The sequence below is a fragment of the Homo sapiens genome, chromosome 7 (genome assembly GCF_000001405.40).
Source record: "Homo sapiens chromosome 7, GRCh38.p14 Primary Assembly".
Taxonomy (NCBI): domain Eukaryota; kingdom Metazoa; phylum Chordata; class Mammalia; order Primates; family Hominidae; genus Homo; species Homo sapiens.
In genome coordinates, this window is record NC_000007.14 from 122,432,610 (window position 1) to 122,445,889 (window position 13,280).

The 13,280-nt window shown below is 34.6% G+C and overlaps 1 protein-coding gene across 29 annotated transcripts in view; it reads right to left on the reverse strand.

Moving 5' to 3' along the window:
- Positions 1–13,280, reverse strand: part of CADPS2 (calcium dependent secretion activator 2) — a 568,050-nt gene that overhangs the window by 114,199 nt on the left and 440,571 nt on the right. For 17 of the 29 annotated variants that reach the window (NM_001363395.2, XM_047421033.1, XM_005250706.6 and 14 more), the window contains 3 exons: positions 8,903–8,966; positions 5,732–5,855; positions 3,751–3,771 (listed from right to left, as the gene is read on the reverse strand). In NM_001363395.2, coding sequence (NP_001350324.1) covers positions 3,751–3,771; positions 5,732–5,855; positions 8,903–8,966 — 209 coding nt within the window. The remainder of the gene's footprint in view (positions 1–3,750; positions 3,772–5,731; positions 5,856–8,902; positions 8,967–13,280) is intronic. The other 12 variants (NM_001363398.2, NM_001009571.4, XM_047421032.1 and 9 more) reach the window with 1 other exon arrangement.

The window sequence follows — 13,280 nt, forward strand, 5'->3', positions numbered from 1 at the left end:
CAGCCTGGGCAACAAGGCAAGACTCTGTTAAAATAAAAAAAAAAAAAAAAAAGAAAAAAAGAAAAGAAAACCTCTGGGACACATAGGCAGTCAGTAGATGACAAAATCATGATGAATTTTGGGTACAGCTTTACTCTTTTCTAGAGGGTATAAACTGAGGAAAATTATTGGAATGCTCAAGAGACTACAAGAGACTACAGTGTCAAAGTATTATCAAGCCATCTGAGTTCTTTAGTTCTTTCACATGTAATTGATATTTTCATTGTTACCCACTTTTAAAAGCATCACCCCACCAAGAACATTTACAAGGTAACCCTGCTAGGTTACCTTGCTACCAAATGCAAATAACATGATATAACTAATATATATAATATATTTTTTGGAGACAGGGTCTCCTTCTGTCACCCACGCTGGATTGCAGTGGCACAATCATGGCTCACTGCAGTCTTAAACTCCTAAGTTCACGCAGTCCTCCTGCCTCAGCCTTATGAGTAGCTGGGACTACAGGTATGCGCTACTATACTTGGCTATTTGAGGCGTGTGTGTGTGTGTGTGGAGATGGGGTCTCACTATGTTTCCTAGGCTAGTCTTGAACTCCTGGGTTCAAGTGATCCTCCTGCCTCAGCCTCCCAAAGTTCTGGGATCACAGGCATGAGCCACCATGCTCTCCCTGGAATATAACAACATTTCTAAAAAACCCCTATCTTCTGTTACTTCAGAACATTCTTAAATTTAGTTTTCCCTTCAATCAATTTAAATTACATAAATTACATTGATTTTTCTTTGTGTTTTTTTGGTTTTTTTTTTTTTTGAGATGGAGTTTTGCTCTTGTTGCCTAGGCTGGAGCGCAATGGCACCACCTCGGCTCACTGTAACTTCTGCCTCCCAGGTTCAAGTGATTCTCCTGCCTCAGCCACCCAAGTAGCTGGGATTGCAGGCATGCACCCCCACTCCAAGCTAATTTTGTATTTTTAGTAGAGACAGGGTTTCACCATGTTGGTCAGGCTGGTCTTGAACTCCTGACCTCAAGTGATCCACCCATTTTGGCTCCCCAAAGTGCTGGAATTACAGGCGTGAGCCATTGTGACTGGCCGATTTTTCTCTTTTCTAAACAAGCATTTCATTTTAATAAAAGTATATTTCCTAGAGTTGCCGACCTGTACAGTTGACCAGTGGTATGGATTGCTAAGTCACTGTGAGGAGAAGATTTCTGTTTGGTTGAAGCAAGGTATATATGGGACAAGTCCCTTTTGTTCTCTCCTCTCTTTAAGGAGATCAGGCAACTCTACACATGGCCTCTGCCCCAGGCTTCAAAAAGGGGCACTCTGACCCTTTCATATCTCCCAGGGGAAGAAGCATAGCTTCTGGAGGTTAAGGATCACCTAAGTCCAGCCCCAGCTGGCTGAGTTATTTACTCCATGGCAGCTGGAAAGCCACGAACAACCCTGAACTTCTTGTTTGTAAACTAGGATGAAAGCTGTTTCTACAACAGGAATGTTGTAGGGGAGAAAATGCCTTAAGAGGTTTGAAAAAGTTTGCTAAAGAGCATCGGATTGTTGCTATTACAATGTGCTGTCATAAGAGGTGACAATCAGTCCCATATTTTTTTCTAATTCATTTTTCTCTAAAGTGCACTTAGCAATCATTGTAGGTGTGTTCTTTCTCCTCTTCGTGGCTCTGAGTGTTTTGTTCCTGTCACTTTCTGGGGTCAAATATTGAAAAAGGTAGGGGAAAAAAAAAAGAAAGAAATAGAGCCCTTAATAGAAGACTTCAGTTAAAAACAACCCAAGCAAACTTGCTTATAACATTGCATACAAAATTTGACCAAAATGAGAAAACTAGGATTAGGAAGTTTCATCACTTGTCTCTCACTTCATTGTTTTCAGATGGAACTAACTAATCTCCTACCTCTCTCCAAAGTCCAGAGTGCCTACTTTGTGTCAGCAGACACAGTGGTGGGTGCTGGGAATACAACAGTGAACAAGTCAGTAAGGACCCTGCCTGCATGGGGCTGAAGAGAAGACAGAGAGGAGAAACACATCATAACAGGCACACGTAGTTAAATGAATAATTGTGATAAGGGATGCAAGAAAAAAATAATAGAACGTTAAAAAATTCAGCGACTCAGCGAACTCTTTCCTAGCAATTTCCTGATGGGATTTCATAACCCTTGTTCATTCCTGTGATTAACAACTTTCAAAGTTAATAACTGCTTACTTTTTATTTAATAGCATTTATGCTTTTTATTCTGTTATTTTCAAGAGTGATAAAGGAAAATGGTCCTCTTTTCTTGTTGTAAGAGCCCTTCAAATATCTGTGACAGCTTCCAAGTAAGATTGGTGGATATGCTTAAAACATAATGCATACCATTCATATAGCCTCAGGTTTTTTGCTTTAAATTTGTATCAAAAATATTGCTGAATTTTTAGAGATGAATGGCCTATACTTTACCTACAAAGTATTAGCAATCATTCTGACAAAATCAAAGCATTTTCAGAATTCCTAATCAAAATGATCTAATAGAAGCCCTGAGAAAAAGAGAGCTATTCATCAATGACAAAACATCACACTACCAACAGCAATGGAAACAACAAAATTAAAAAGGCAATGTACAGAATGGGAGAAAATATTTGCACACCATACATTTGAGAAAGGGTTCATATCCAAACTATTTAAGTAACTCCTATAACTTAACAGCAGAAACCCAAATAGCCCAACTTAAAAATGAAAAAAGAAACTGAATAGACATTGCTCAAAAGACATACAAATAAATGGCCAACACATAAATGAAAAGGTGCTCAACATCACTAATCTTCAGGGAAATGCAAATCAAAACCACAATGAGATATCATCTCACACCTGTTGGGACGACTATTATTTAAAATGAACAAACAAACAAAACAAGAGATAGCAAGTACTGGCAAGGATGTGGAGAAAAAAGAACTCTTGTATACTATTGGTAGAAATGTAATTAGGTGCAGCCACTATGAAAAATAGTATGGAGGCTTCTGTAAAAATAAAATATGGAACTCCAAAGGATTCAGCAATCTCACTTCTGGGTATACAACCAAAAAAATTGAAATCAGGATCTCAAAGAGATATCTGCTCTCCCATGTTCATTGCAGCATTATTCATTGAAAGCAACCTAAATGTTCATTGAGAGATGAATGGATGAAGAAAATGCATAATATACATACAATAGAATATTATTCAGCCTTAAAAAAACAAATTTCTGGCTTAATAGTAAAATAAGCCAGTCACAGTACATAATAACACATGATACCACTTATATGAGGAATCTAAAAGAGTTAAACTCATAGAAGCAGAGAGTAGAACAGTCACTGCTAGGGGCTGGGAGAAGAGAACATGAAGCGGTATTATTCACAGGGCACAAAGTCTAAGTTATTCAAGATATAGAAGTTCTAGGGACCTATTATACAGCAGAATGCCTATAGTTAGCAATATAGTACACTTTAAGAAATTGCAAAGAGGGTAGCTCTTGTGTTAAATATTTTTATCATAAAATATTAATAATAATAAAGAGGGCAGGAGGAAACTTTCGTAGGTGATGAACAGGTTTATGCTATAGATTGCAATGATCGTTTCACAGCTATTTACCTCCAAATTCATCAAGTTGTGTACATTAAATATGTACAGCTTGCCTGTCAATCATGTCTCAACAAAGTGCTTTAAAAATATCACACCACCACATGAGAAATAATGGCTTGTGCATGCAGAAATATTAATTACCTGTTTCCTTTTCTGCTGGGCCTAAAACATAAGAAAAGAGAATTTAGGAGAAAAGCAAACTCTACCCTTGTCGTTCATATAATGTAAAAGGCCACTTTCTAACTTAAGTTTGATTTGGTTCTTAGTCTAGTCCTGAGGATAAAACATAAATACTTTTTTTTTCTTTTTTAAGAAAAAAGTAGGGGGAGAGGGAGATGATGAAAAACATGGAAGTTTTTCTCACCTAATGAGCAAGCATTTTGTTGTTGCTATTTTTTAAAGAAGACTGCTCAGCATTCCTACCACAGTGGGTTGCTAGGATCCATTTTCCAGAATATTCTTCCATTAGACCAGAGATAAGAGAGAAGTGACTTCAGAAAGGGAAAAGGTAGGAGAGTTTCCCGCTCACTGTCCATTGGGTACTACCATAGGCTCTTGTCTAACAGAGACTTGTTTTTATGTGTACAATAAAAAGGTTCTTTATCCATTTAAAATGGATTCTATGGCTATAAAATACAAAGATAAAGTGCACTGCATATATCTTTTCTGTATCCGTGGACAAGTTAATAGTCAAAAATATTAACTCAGTTGAGAGCAAAATGATTCTTACAGGTTTTTTTGGGTAGAGTACATAACATTTACATAAAACAATATGGTGTTTATTCAAGTTCCCCACAACTTTTATCTTTGCCAGATCTGAAAGGCTTTAATATGTCTATTTTAATATCATTTCTTCCAATCTGTGTCAGAATACTCAATGCTCCCAAAACATGAAAATTATTTGAATGAGTATTTAAGACTGAAACCCAATGTGTTTATCTTCCACTTTCCCCGAATGATCAAATGTTCATTGCTTTTGCTTTAACACAACATGATATCATAATTAATGAAGTTAAAATGGTAACTAAGGAGGTTTCATGTTGTTACTCTCGTGATATAATGTTGGTTGTTATGGTGATGAGATGGCTTTTTTGTTAATCACTCAGGAGGTTGGTTATCGTATGCTTGTTAGAAAGCTTGACCAGATTTGGAGAGAAGAAAGGAATAATAACACAAACAATTATCATCAATCTTTTTCCCTACCTGAATTTTGGTAAAACTATACTAATATCAACTGCTTCATAAATCTATGATTCCTTGAGTACCATTTTATATAAAAAGTTACTAAAATTTTATAAAGGATTATTTACTTTTATTTTCAGGTAAGAAACTTTTATTTTCAGATAAGTATTTAACATTAACTGCATTTTTTCCCTCTATTAGTTAATCCTGCATGTATTATTATGAAAGCCAGTTTTATGACAATTTGAGCAAAAAATGTGAGGCCTGTTACTTTTAATTACATAAATTAATGTGTTGAATAAAACTGTTGAATAAAAGCTGATTTTGTGACTTTGCCACAAATTCCAATCTACTTATTTCTAAACATTTAAAAAATTAGTATCCTTAATGAATAAAGCCTGAAGAAAGAAAAAAAAAAAAAGCACAGTTCTCTCAAGAGATCTAATCTTTCAAATGCATCAGTACATTGCAAGCAATTAAAAACCGAAGGAAGTTCTATGAGTTTATTTCAGCCCTCAATAATCAACAAGTTTCTTTTTTGAGTGATACTGCAGAACAGAAAATAAAATTACATAATACTACACTGTTACTGATCAGGAAAGATTTTGCTGCCTATAGTTTAAATGTTAGACATACTTAAAGTACTGCCAAAAAATACAACCCATGAAAACACCTTTTGGTTTTTTCAAAACTCAAAATAAGAACAAAGGACAACTTAAGCACGAATCCTGGGTCTTTCATTCAAGCAGAGTCCCAGGAGGCATATTAAAGCAATGAATAGGAAAAAGCTCTTCAGTTCACCAGCTGAGATTTTAATGAGACATTTCCCTTTGCCATGGCACAGGATTGTTCAGGAAAGGAAAGGACTTCTCATAGAAAATTCAGTTACTAGGCATTGTTGGCTCTCACTGCCACTTCGACAATTGCTCACTGCACTGACCTTCTATTTTGGCATATTCTGTGAGTCTAGTGTAATTGATCAAGGCAGCTTTCTCGAGACATTTTCTGACCACTTTCTTCACCTCTTCTGCTGGTATGGGAGTGGCAATATCTTTCATTAAAACCTACAGAGAGAGGAAGTGGAAGGGTGAGGGGCAGGGTTGGGGATAGACAGATGGAAGAAAAAAGACAGATGTTGCATAAAATAAATACTAAAGACAAATTACACAAATTGTCCTTGATCTGACTATTATTAGGGAGAGGGGTCCTAGGTAACCTGGGGGGATGTAATGGGTCTGCAATGCACTTCCCAACTGAGAATGTAATCCTCCCACCTTAGCTCCTCCTAAGCCTAATTTATGCATATCAAAACCTCCCCTAGACCAGGTCACCATTCAGTGTGACTGTCACTTTTCTTCCAGGGACCCATGACACCATTAAAGCAGCTGTTTCAGATAAAGATTACAGTTCTCGGGACAAATAATAGTTTGTTTTGCACATCCCTAATTTAAAAGCCTTGAGTCTTTTGAGCAATATATTTGAGAACAATAACAAAAATTCCATTAAGAATAAGCATAATCTTTGAGCTCTGAAAAAAAAAAAATCAAGACCTCTAATCTCACTAAATTTTAATGATTGTGATTTGCTGTGAATACCACGGCAGTGTATTCAAAGAGGGAGAAGGAGACCTCTTTGCCTTAGTGAAATGAATGCTTATGAAGTATCGAATGTTAAAATACATAAAAACTTTCTATGGTTTTAAAAAATAACTGATTATTCTCTGTTGGGCTCCTAAAATGTGTTTTTGGACTTTTCCTTTAAAAATGTTATTACTGGGCAAGGGGAAAATGCAATTACATCCAGAATTCAAAATGTAATGTATTTATAAACACTGTTACATTGACTCATAATTTTCTTTAAAACCTTCATAATGATAAAACTGCTCACATTAAGTTTTGATTACACTATTAGTAAAACTATCTTTCTGCATATTTAATGCATTTATTCTTGCTTTACTTTCATTCAGATTACAAAACATATGGCAGAATGTTAATATAGAGAAGACAATGCTTTCGTAAGTGCTCTATTTCTATGTCTTATATTGAAAGGAATATTGAAAGAATATGAAAACATCCATTTCATGCTGTATTATTTCATTCTCTTGTAAGTCAGCCTCAGCACTAAGGATTTTATCATCCCTGATTTATTTAATCATCCAAGTATCAGTGACCTTTGACAACATTTTTTAAAGGCTACTCTTTGATGACATTTTAAATATTTTGTTAGGCAAGGTTTTCTTTTTTGAAAATAGCAAACTTTATCATTCTCTCTCTATCAAATTCAATTATTCTGACAAATATTTAGCACTTTAATTAGCACTGCACATTAGACTTTGCAGCCAGAAAAATCCTTTTGTGCATAGTAAAAAATATACATGCACCATTAAATGTGATTATTACTAAACTTTAAGATTAATTTTGTTTCATATGCGGAACCACGAACGTTACTATTATACTTCCCATGGCAACAAACTTTACATAACAAAAATGGCTGTTAAAGTTAGAATGTATATGTCTCCCAGGTAATATTTCATATTATCTGGGAACCAGAAACTTACTTTCTGGCAAAGTACAGGTAAAGGGCTGGCAAATGCAAAAAGGGAGATGCCAACCTCGATTTCCTGCTGCATCCCATGTTCTTCCGAGGTATCATAGGTTTCAAGAATTCACATGCATATTTTTGTTTTACTTTTCAATATCAGTAAGTAAAGAGAAATAAAAATGAAGAAATGACCCTTAACATTTCTGTCTCAATTCAGCAGGAGATGTGATCAGTGACTATAACTGGAATAAAGGTCCCTGTTCATCCTGCCACCTGTCAATGGAGGGCAGGAGGGCATCCTGCCATCACTAAGTCTTCCCTACTGGGGGGCAGAAAGGAGGCTCTGCCATGGAAACCAGGACATGGAGAAGCTGTATTAGGTACCCACGATGGGATGTTGTTCCAAAAAATAAAGCAATCCTTAAGGATTTTTATTCATAATACCTTAATGAATAGGATGACATGAATACTTTGAAAAATCTGAGTTATGTGCAGCTTTCAGTATTATAAAAATTCTAATAAAACATAATTACAACAATCACATTTCTATCACACAATCCACAACAATCAGGGATAAGACAGGGATATAAAAATAAAATTAATCTGTAATCCTAAGATCTCATTTTAATCATCAGTTGTAGTCCTCATCTCCCAAGTTCTTAAATCAATGAAATGGAGATGTAATATCTGGACAATGTCTTCTCTCTTTGCTTTTTAATAGAGATGCTAATAAACAATATAGTATCTAAAATTAATTCAGCAGAAAATGGACAAGATCAAGTGTTAGAAGTCAATAAATCAGGATTACAATAATCAAATTATGAGCTACAGATGAATCTAGAAATTCATTTTAATTCTGGTAAGAAATGGGAGTTGGCCACATTATTTAACTGTTAGCATCTAACAAGTATATGAATAAAATTACAGACAGATGAAAAAATACTGCTCTTTGAAACTTCAGTTGTCATAAAAATAGGAATAGAGAATATATTTTCCTTAAAAAATGATTTTTTTCACCTGGATTAAAAATCTTGTTTGCTGGTTATTTTGTGGGGGAGAAACATTTCTATAATATGTGAATTCATTTAAGGTAACACATACACTGGAATAATTGAAAGAAATTCTGAGATGAATATTGAATGAATGAAATGATATATTTGTGAATGGTAAATGATAAACTTGTTGGCATGAGGACTACGACAGGTAGAAGTACAAATAAAGTTGGAGGATAATAAAAGACAACTGTAAAGTCTGAGAAGCAAAAACAATTATTCTTAACTGAAAAAAAAGTATTTCATGAGGGAAATAAAGAGGTAGGAAAAATGATTACTACCAAAAAGATGCCATAATATGAGGATAGGATTTCAGTGTGAGGCTTCAGAAAGGCTTCAGGGAGAATGAAGTGCTGTAGACAGAGTCTGAATGTAGTAAGAAAAGGTGAGAAACTCATGACTTGTGATGGAATCAGTAGAGAGCATAGAATAACGGGGTCTGTCTCCCTAGTTCAATAACTAAAATACACAGCAACTGAGAAAGCAAATAGTATTTATAAAGTAATGTTCAAACATACCCTTTCAAGTAATGAAAGTGTAGCTTTTAGAGCACCTTCAGGTCGTCCAAAGGGAAAACAGTATCTTTAAAAACAAAAGAAAGAACAAAAGAGTCAAACATTTAATACCCAAGACTGCTAAATAATTCCTGCTTGTATTACTTGGCATTAATGAAGAACCATGAAACAAACAGAAAATATTATAGCATGAACTCATCCAGGGAAATTTTAACTATTAAAAGTTTACCTAACCCTAGGATTTCAAAGACTTAAACAATAAAAGTATAAGCTGTGATGAAAAAGGTTTTAAACGTTTTGATGATACTTGTTTTAAAAGAATACAGTAAATAAAAGAACCTCAAGGGTCATGAGTAAAGCGATAATATGCATTCTGCAATAATTTCTTGTTTAAGAATTGTTATTCAAGTTCTAAGAGAAAATGAAATAATTTCCCTCATTTCCTCCTGTGGCTACTTGTGGTTTAGGGTGGCCACATATACCACAGCAAGATTCCAGCTCTTTCCTTTGCTGACATTTGCCTGTCTACCATGATGTCTAATTTTCTACCTCCCCATACAATACACATAAACCCTCTGCAGTTCTTTTGAATACAGTCATTTGTCCCAAATATTTCTAGTTCTACATATTCCTACTGCACACCAACAAATGAAGGACAGGTCATGGGGATGTTCTGAAATCAGTGTCAGACAAGGCTGGATTGTGAGTGGGCTACTCAGAATTTCATGGCTACCTGATGGTAACAGGTTTATTGCTCTTTACCAGGGGGTCCTGCTTCAGGTCAATTTCCACTTAAACAATACTGAACATCAGGGCCATTTCATCTTTTTGGAGCTCCTTGCTTTGCTGAACCAGATTCAGCAAAGTGCCTCCTCCCAGGACTGCAGTTCCCACCTCAGGATCAAGTGCTACAGGCAGCTGGGCTGTACTTAGGATGGCACCTTGCTCTGACTTAGAAATCTGCAAACTAATAACTTGGAAAGAAGTTTATGTATCTCCATGTCATTTTGCATAAATCAGGCACTTGGTGGACATATTTTCTCAGATATAATAAAATTATATTTCTCACACCATAATTTAAACATATTTCCCCCAAAAGCACATATGTTAAGTTTAACTTGTTTTATACAACTATTTTTTAATAGAAGAGATTGATTTCTCCTTTTTAAAACAAAACAGCAGTTTAATTTATATTAGGATTGGATTTTATATTCGTGAAACTTTCATTAGTCTCACACAGATGCAAATAAATGTTATATAAATCTAGTCACTCAAGTTTTTTTTTTAACAGAATATCACATTTATCATTGTATTTACTGCTAAAAATGTCCTTTCTTAATCTTGCTGCTACATACTCCGCTACTCTCCACCCACACGCACAAGAAAGCCATAACCAATTTATTTTGATAGTTTCTTCTGTGCAGTGGTGCTTTTAAGAGCATTAGCAAATTAGCAAAGTACCTTTAATCATTTTGTATATTATAAACCTTAATCCACGTTTAAATAAAACACAAATTGGGTTCTTGTAGTCCCCTCCCCCTGCTTAATCTTTTCAGTGTATTTGCATAATCCATCCATTGTCTTCCCTATTGTTTATTTCCATTAACCTGTGGGTGACACATTTTATGAATGGAATGTTACTGATCCCCAGATTACATTTAGCATTTCAGGGCTCTGAGGTCCCACTGGGTATGTTCTAAATTAGCATTAGCTGCCCATGATGTGTAAATAATTCAACACATTTACGGAGTACAAGTAATCCTGAATCAATAAAGTACAGAAAATAACTACATAGAAGCTTAATTAATCTTTACAAAACAAGTTTTAAAAGAAGAGAAGCATTTTGTTCTGCCTTTCAGGCTAAATATTTTGGGTTTTTACCACTCTGGCAGCTCTATAACAGCAAAGCAAAGTGGAAAACATTCAATTATCAAATAAAATTCAGCCACATTATATACCTAACATGAATAAACTGAAGTCAACCTTATTCCCATTTTGGCAAATTAATTGCACAGATAAATAAACCAGCACAGATTTATCTTATAATTAAGCCCTTTTTGTTCCCTATTTTTAAATACAGTATTTTTTTTTTTTACCAAAGTGATATATACACATAGTTTAAAGAGGAAACTTCTTTTATCTTTTTTTTTTTTAAATGAAAGCCAGAAATCCTTTATGTCAGTTCCAGTTTCTGCTTTCTACAAAAAAAAAAAAAAAAAAAAAAAAATGCTGTCAACTTTTAGCTGATTCTTTTGGTATTTAAACTTTATATCCTTCAATTGTACATTAATATTTTTACTTCTTGACTTTTCAATTTTAAATATTATCCTACTAACTTTCCACTACGGAAGAGAAGTATGTAGCCTTCATTTGTTTCAGGAACTGCACATATTTAAAATATATGGTTTGGTTAAGTTTTGACATATGCATATACTTGTGACTATAATCAAGTTAACTCATGGCCTGCAAGTCTTCCCCCCAGATCACAGGCAACTACTCATTTCCTTGCTATAATTTTGATTAGTTTGTATGTCTAGAATTTTAAGTAAGAGGAAATGTACAGTATTTACTTTTGTGGGTCTGATTTCTTTCACTTAGCATAGTTATCTTGATATTCATTCATGCTGTTGTATATATCAAGAGTTCATTCCTTTTTATTGGTGGGTAGTATTCCATTGCATGGCATACACTGTGTATCTATTCCTTGCTGATGGCCATTTGGCTTTCATAGTTTGGCTACTATGAATAATGTTGGTATGAGCAATCATATAAAAGTCTGTGTGGACACATGCTTCCATTTCTCTTGGGAAAATACCTAGGAATGGAATGGCTGGGTCATATGATAAATGTTTAAATTTTTAAGAATCTGCCAAGTTATTTTCCAAAGTAGGTTGTAGCATTTTATATTCCTACCAACAGCATATAAGAGTTCCAGTTTCTCCACAACTGTGTCAACACTTGTTATGTTCAGTTTTTGTTTTGTTTGGAATTTAACTATACCACTAAGTATGCAGTGGTATCTAACTATGGTTTCAAATTGCAATTCCCTGTTGAATAATGACGTTGAGCATCTTTCCATATGCCTTTTTGTATAATATTCCTTTGGTGAAGTATCTGTTAAAACAATTTTTTAAATTGGGTTAATATTTTATAATTAAACTTTAAAAGTTTTATATATTCTGAATAAAAGTTTACTGTGGGATGTGTGTCGTCTAAATACTTTCTCCTATTCTGCGACTTAACTTTTTATTCTAACAATGTCTTTGGAAGATCGAAAGTTCTCAATTTTGAGGAAGTTCAATGTAACATTTTTTTCCATTTATGAATTATGATTATGTTTTATTTAAGAATCTTTGCCTAACCCAAAGACACAGATTTTTCACCCAAGTTTTCTAGGTCTACCTATTTTGAGTTAACTTTTGTATTATGGGTGAGGTATGAATTGAGGTCAATAGTTTGCATTTGAATATCCAATAGTTCCGGTAGCATCTGTCGGAAAAAAGTATACTTTGCAAATTGCCCTTGAACATTCACTGAAAATCAACAGACCATATATGTGTGTGAGTCTACTTTTGGACTTTCAGTAGCATACTATCTTGATTACTGTAGCATTATAAATTTTGAAATCAGTGTTAATGTTCCCACGTTGTCCTTTTTAAAAGTTATTTTTGCTATGGTAAATTCTTTGCATTTACATGTAAATTCTATTATCAGGTTAATTTCTAAAAAACAATCATACTGGGATTTTGACTGAAATAGCCTTGGATCCATAGGTCAATTTAGAGAGAATTGACAACAATATTGAGTCTTCTGGCCCATGAGTACAGTATCTCTCCTTCTATTTAGGTTTTCTTTAATTTTTCTCAGCAATACTTTATACTATTCAGTGTACATGTTTTACACATCTTTCATCAGGTTGATCCCAAAGTATTTCATATTTTTTATTGTTATTGTAAATGATATTATTTAATTTCAATTTCTGATTGTTGCCAGTATATAGAAATATATTAATATTTATATATTTATCACAGGGTGTGGTGGCTCATGCCTGTAATCCCAGTATTTTGGGATGCCCAGGCAGGAAGATCTCTTGAGCCTAAGAATTTAAGAGTAGCCCTGGGCAACATAGGGAGATCCCATCTCTGTAAAAGAAAATATTATCTGCGCATGGTGGCATGTGCCTGTGGTCCCAGCTACTTGGGATGCTGAGGTGGGAGGATCGCTTGAGCCTGGGAAGTTGAGGCTGCAGTGAGCAGTGATCACACCTCTGCACTCCAGCCCTGAGACAGGGCGACAGAGTAAGAACCTGTCTCAAAAAAATCATCTAGGATTCTGCAACTTAAATATTGGAGTGGAATTTTTTAGATTCGGTAAGATTTTC